General features: G+C 49.9%; 1 annotated feature.

Annotated features, from left to right (window-relative positions):
* Window positions 1,132–1,221: an enhancer, noted in NCBI's record as "active region_17734". NCBI's record gives its function as "activates an Ori minimal core promoter by ATAC-STARR-seq in GM12878 lymphoblastoid cells {active_cell/tissue: GM12878}" and the evidence as "EXISTENCE:reporter gene assay evidence [ECO:0000049][PMID:35858748]".

The raw sequence follows: 6,000 nt of genomic DNA, 5'->3' as shown, positions 1-6,000 counted from the left end.
AGAGACAGGGTTTCACCATGTTGGCCAGGATGGTCTCGATTTCTTGACCTTGTGATCCACCTGCCTCAGGCTCCCAGTGTGCTGGGACTATAGGCCTGAGCCACTGCGCCCAGCCAAGACATGTTTTCATCATGTTGGCCAGGTTGGTCTCGAACTCCTGACCTCAAATGATCCACCCTTCTTGACCTCCCAAAGTGCTGGGATTACAGGCATGAGCCACTGTGCCCACCCTCACACTGGTTCTCTTTCCATTGGTTCAGTCTGTGACTCTGGAGGGTTGGGATGCAGAGATGGGAGGGGCCCATTAAATGGTGACTGATATAATAATGGTGATAATAATTATTATTATCGGTATTATGTGTGAAATGGTTGTGTAATCCTCACATGGAGAAGGGAAAAACATGCTTTGAAAGTGACAATCTCAGCCTGGGCAACACAGCGAGACTCCATCTCTACGGAAAATTAAAGAAAAATAGCCAGGCCTGGGCTGGGTGCGGTGGCTCAAGCCTGTAATTCCAGCACTTTGGGAGGCCAAGGTGGGCGGATCCTAAGGTCAGGAGTTGGAGACCAGCCTGACCAACATGGTGAAACCCTGTCTCTACTAAAAATACAAAAATTAGCTGGGCCTAGTGGCAGGCACCTGTAATCCCAGTTGCTCGGGAGGCTGAGGCAGGAGAATCGTTTGAACCCGGAAGGCGGAGGTTGCAGTGAGCCAAGATAGCACCACTGCACTCCAGCCTGGGTGAAAGAGTGAGACTCCGTCTTAAAAAAAAAAAAAAAAAAGAAAAATAGCCAGGCCTGGTGGTGGGCTACCTGGGAGGCTGAGATGGGAGGATCACTTGAACCCAGGAGTTCGAAGCTGCATGTGAGCTGTGGCTGTGCTACTATGCTTCAGCCTGGGTGACAGAGTGAGACTCTGCCTCAGAAACCAAAACCAAACTGACAAACAAAAAGTGACAACCTCAAGGAGCCCAGCTTCCCATCCTATTCCCACCTTCCCACTTGCAGGGCTCATGGCACCTGCTAGGACCTTGCGACCCTGGCTCTCTGCTGCCCCCTCCTGGCATCTGTCAGAGGTGGCGCCTGGATGCGAAATCTTCAGCCTGTCTTCAGCGCAGCAAGTGTCTTTTGTGAGTGACCAATACAAGGGTGGGAAGGACATGGCTGGGGATACCTCCTCTTGGGCCTCTGGTTCCTCCCTCATGAAATTCTGGATTGGGACTAAAAGTTCCTAGACCATGACTCTGAATCTTTCTCTGCCAAGGATAACATCTTCCTGGCCTTTCACCATCTCCAGCCAAAAAGCCAAACCCTGCAGGGTGTGGTGGCTCACCCCTGTAATCCCAGCACTTTGGGAGGCTGAGGTAGGTGGATCAAATGAACTCAGGAGTTCCAAACTAGCCTGGGCAACATGGTGAAACCCTGTCTCTACGGGAAAAAAAAAATTGGTGCACACTGGTAATCACAGCTAGTCAGGAGGCTGAGGTGGGAGGATCACTTGAGTCTGGGAGGTGGAGGTTGCAGTGAGCCATGATTGCACGACTGCACTCCAGCCTGGGTGATGGATTGAGACCCCCTTCTCCAAAAACAAAGAAATAAACAAAAAAGAAACAGAGTGAGACCCTGTCTCAAAAAAAAAAAAAAAAAAAAAAAAAAAAACCGGCCGGGTGGCTCATGCCTATAATCCCAACAGTTTGGGAGGCCAAGGTGGGCGGATCATGAGGTCAGGAGTTTGAGACCAGCCTGGCCAACATGGTGAAACCCTGTCTTAACTAAAAATACAAAAATTAGCCGGCGTGCTGGGACGCACCTGTAATCCCAGCTACTCGGGAGGCTGAAGCAGGAGAATCGCTTGAACCCAGGAGGCAGAGGTTACGGTGAGCCAAGATCGGGCCACTGCGCTACAGCCTGGGTGACAGAGCAAGACTCTGTCTCGAGGGTGAAAAAAAAAGAAAAAGCCTGGCCTTTCACCATCTCCAGCCAAAAAGCCAAACCCTGCAGGGTGTGGTGGCTCACCCCTGTAATCCCAGCACTTTGGGAGGCTGAGGTAGGTGGATCAAATGAACTCAGGAGTTCCAAACTAGCCTGGGCAACATGGTGAAACCCTGTCTCTACGGGAAAAAAAAAATTGGTGCACACTGGTAATCACAGCTAGTCAGGAGGCTGAGGTGGGAGGATCACTTGAGTCTGGGAGGTGGAGGTTGCAGTGAGCCATGATTGCACGACTGCACTCCAGCCTGGGTGATGGATTGAGACCCCCTTCTCCAAAAACAAAGAAATAAACAAAAAAGAAACAGAGTGAGACCCTGTCTCAAAAAAAAAAAAAAAAAAAAAAAAAAAAACCGGCCGGGTGGCTCATGCCTATAATCCCAACAGTTTGGGAGGCCAAGGTGGGCGGATCATGAGGTCAGGAGTTTGAGACCAGCCTGGCCAACATGGTGAAACCCTGTCTTAACTAAAAATACAAAAATTAGCCGGCGTGCTGGGACGCACCTGTAATCCCAGCTACTCGGGAGGCTGAAGCAGGAGAATCGCTTGAACCCAGGAGGCAGAGGTTACGGTGAGCCAAGATCGGGCCACTGCGCTACAGCCTGGGTGACAGAGCAAGACTCTGTCTCGAGGGTGAAAAAAAAAGAAAAAGCCAAACCCTTTGCCCTGGTTTCTATCCCCTGTGTTTCCTCTTCTTCTTCTTCTTTTTTTTTATTTGAGAAGGAGTCTCTCTGTTGCCCAGGCTGGAGTGGAGTGCAATGGGAAGATCTGGGCTCACTGCAACCTCCACCTCCTGGGTTCAAGAGATTCTCCTGCCTCAGCCTCCTGAGTAGCTGGGATTACAGCTGCCCGCAACCATGCCCAGCTAATTTTTGTATTTTTAGTAAAGACAGGGTTTCACCATTTTGGTCAGGCTGGTCTCGAACTCCTAACCTCAGGTGATCCACCCGCTTTGGCCTCCCAAAGTGCTGGGATTACAGGCGTGAGCCATGGCGTACGGGCCCCTGTGCTTCTAATCTCTGGAAGTGTCTTACTCCTCCCTAATTGAGCATCATCAGAGCCCAGTTTGAAGCATCACCATCACCCAACAAGGTTGATTTTCTTGCTGTGGGGCCAGAATTGCAGGCCCAGGATTCATGTCTGGTTTAAGTGGAAAACTTGTTAATCACCATCCTATACACCCCTCACTACAGCGAGTGTGCTGCTTCCAGAGCTGGTTTGTCTATGCTTGCTCTCTCCTCTTCAGCTTTGTATCTACTCCAGGGCTCAGCACATGGCCCATTTTTCTTCTTTCTCTATGCTCTCTTCCTATAGGTTATCTTAAGACTGTCACACACTTTAAATATCTTCCATATGTCATTGACTCTCCTTAATCTCCTTCACGCAAGCCATCAGCAAGGCTTAGCAATCTTACCTCCTTAATACCTCTTAATTATATTTAGCCCTTTCCATCCCCACTGCAGTCACCTTTCTAGTTCAGGTCACCACCACCTGCCCTGTGAACAACTTCATTTTTTTTTTTGAGACAGAGTCTTGCTCTGTCGCCAGGCTGGAGTGCAGTGGTGCAATCTTGGCTCACTGCAACTTCTGCCTCCTGGGTTCAAGTGATTCTGCTACCTCAGCCTCCTGAGTAGCTGGGACTACAGGCATGCTACCGCGCCCAGCTAACTTTTTGTATTTTTAGTAGAGATGAGGTTTCAGCATGTTGGCCAGGCTGGTCTCGAACTCCTGATCTCAGTGATCTGCCTGCCTCAGCCTCCCAAAGTGCTGGGATTACAGGTGTGAGTCACCGTGCCCGGCCTAATTTTTTTTTTTTTTTGAGATGGAGTCTCGCTCTGTCGCCCAGGCTGTAGTACAGTGGTGCGATCTTGACTCACTGCAAGCTCCGCCTCCCGGGTTCATGCCATTCTCCTGCCTCAGCCTCCCGAGTAGCTGGGACTACAGGTACCTGCCACCACGCCCGGCTAATTTTTTGTATTTTTAGTAGAGATGGGGTTTTGCCATGTTAGCCAGGCTGGTCTTGATCTCCTGACCTCGTGATCCGCCTGCCTCGGCCTCCCAAAGTGCTGGGATTACAGGCTTGAGCCACCGTGCCCAGCCCTAATTTTTTTTTTTTTTAAGAGACACAGTCTCACTCTGTCACCCAGTCTAGACTGCAGCGGTGTGATCATAGCTCACTGCAGCCTCGAACTCTTTTATTCTCAAGCTCAATCAATTGGCCTCAGCCTCTTGGATAGCTAGGGCTACAAGGTGCACAGCACCATGACTGGCTAACTTTTTGTTTTTCTTAAAAACAATTTCTTTACAGTTTTATCATTTTTAAAAATTATTTATTTATTTATTTTTGAGACAGAGTCTTGCTCTGCCGCCCAGGCTGGAGTGTGGTGGTGGCTCGATCTTGGCTCACTGCAACCACTGCCTCCTAAGTTCAGGTGATTCTCCTGCCTCAGCCTCTTGAGTAGCTGGAATTACAGCTGCGTGCCCCCATGCCTGGCTAATTTTTTATTTTTAGTAGAGACATGGTTTCACCATATCAGCCAGGTGGGTCTTGAATTCCTGACCTCAGGTGATCCACCAGCCTCAGTCTCCCAAAGTGTTGGGATTGCAGGCACGAGCCACTGTGCCCAGCCAAGAAGCTTCAGTTTTTTTTTTTTTTGAGACAGAGTCTCACTCTGTCACCCAGGCTGGAGTGCAGTGGCACGATCTCTGCTCACTGCAAGCTCTGCCTCCTGGTTTCAGGCCATTCTCCTGCCTCAGCCTCCCAAGTAGCTGGGACTACAGGCGCCTGCCACCACGCCCGGCTAATTTTTTGTATTTTTTAGTAGAGACAGGATTTCACCTTGTTAGCCAGGATGGTCTCGATCTCCTGACCTTATGATCCGCCCGCCTCGGCCTCCTGAAATGCTGGGATTACAGGTGTGAGCCACTGAGCCCGGCCTTTTTTTTTTTTTTTTTTTTGAGACAGAGTCTCGTTCTGTCACCCAGGCTGGAGTGCAGCAGCGTTATCTCGACTCACTGCAACCTCTGCCTGTTGGGTTCAAGCGATTCTCATGCCTCAGCCTCCCGAGTAGCTGGGATTACAGGCAGGCACCACTATACCGAGCTAATTTTTGTATTTTTAGTAGAGACTGGGTTTCACCATGTTGAAACCCAGTTCAGGATGGTCTTGATCACCTGAGCTCGTGATCCACCCACCTCAGCCTCCCAAAGTGCTGGGATTATAGGTGTGAGCCACTCCGCCCGGCCACAAAGCTTCAGTTTTGATGCACATTTGGAATTATGGGGCAAGAGAGAAACCCAGGGCCCACCCAGGGTGAAAAAGCTGTTAGGTGACCCCCACATAAAGCCAGGGTCTGGAAAGCCTGCATCCTCATTGAAAGAGTGGACTGGGCCGGGTGTGGTGGCTTACACCTGTAATCCTAGCACTTTGGAAGGCCAAGGCAGGCAGATCGCCTGAGGTCGGGAGTTTGAGACCAGCCTGGCCAGCATGGTGACACCCCACCTCTACCAAAAGTAAAAAATTACTCAGGCGTGGTGGTGGGTGCCTATAATCCCAGCTACTCAGGAAGCTGAGGCAGGAGAATCACTTGAACCCAGGAGGCGGAGGTTGCAGTGAGCCGAGATCACGCCATTGCACTCCAGCCTGGGCAACAGAGCAAGATTTCATCTCAAAAAAAAAAAAAAAAAAGAAAGAAAGAGCGGACTGCAAAAATCTTGCAGAGGGCACCAGCAAAGAAATTTCTCCATCGTGAACATGGTGGGCAGAGGGGGAAAGCATCTCTGAGAATTCGTAACCTCACATGGGATTGCAACCTGTATTTCTACTCTTTGTGTGAATCAAAAGATCCCGTGCTAAAATATTTTATTTTATTTTATTTTTTGAGACGGCATTTCGCTCTTGATGACCTGGCTGGAGTATAGTGGCATGATCTCTGCTCATTGCAACCTCCGCCTCCCAGGTCCGAGCGATTCTTCTGCCTCAACCTCCCAAGTAGCTGGGATTACAGGCAT

Source organism: Homo sapiens, chromosome 20 (assembly GCF_000001405.40).
Source record: "Homo sapiens chromosome 20, GRCh38.p14 Primary Assembly".
NCBI lineage: Eukaryota > Metazoa > Chordata > Mammalia > Primates > Hominidae > Homo > Homo sapiens.
This window is presented reverse-complemented; position numbering and strand designations above follow the sequence as displayed.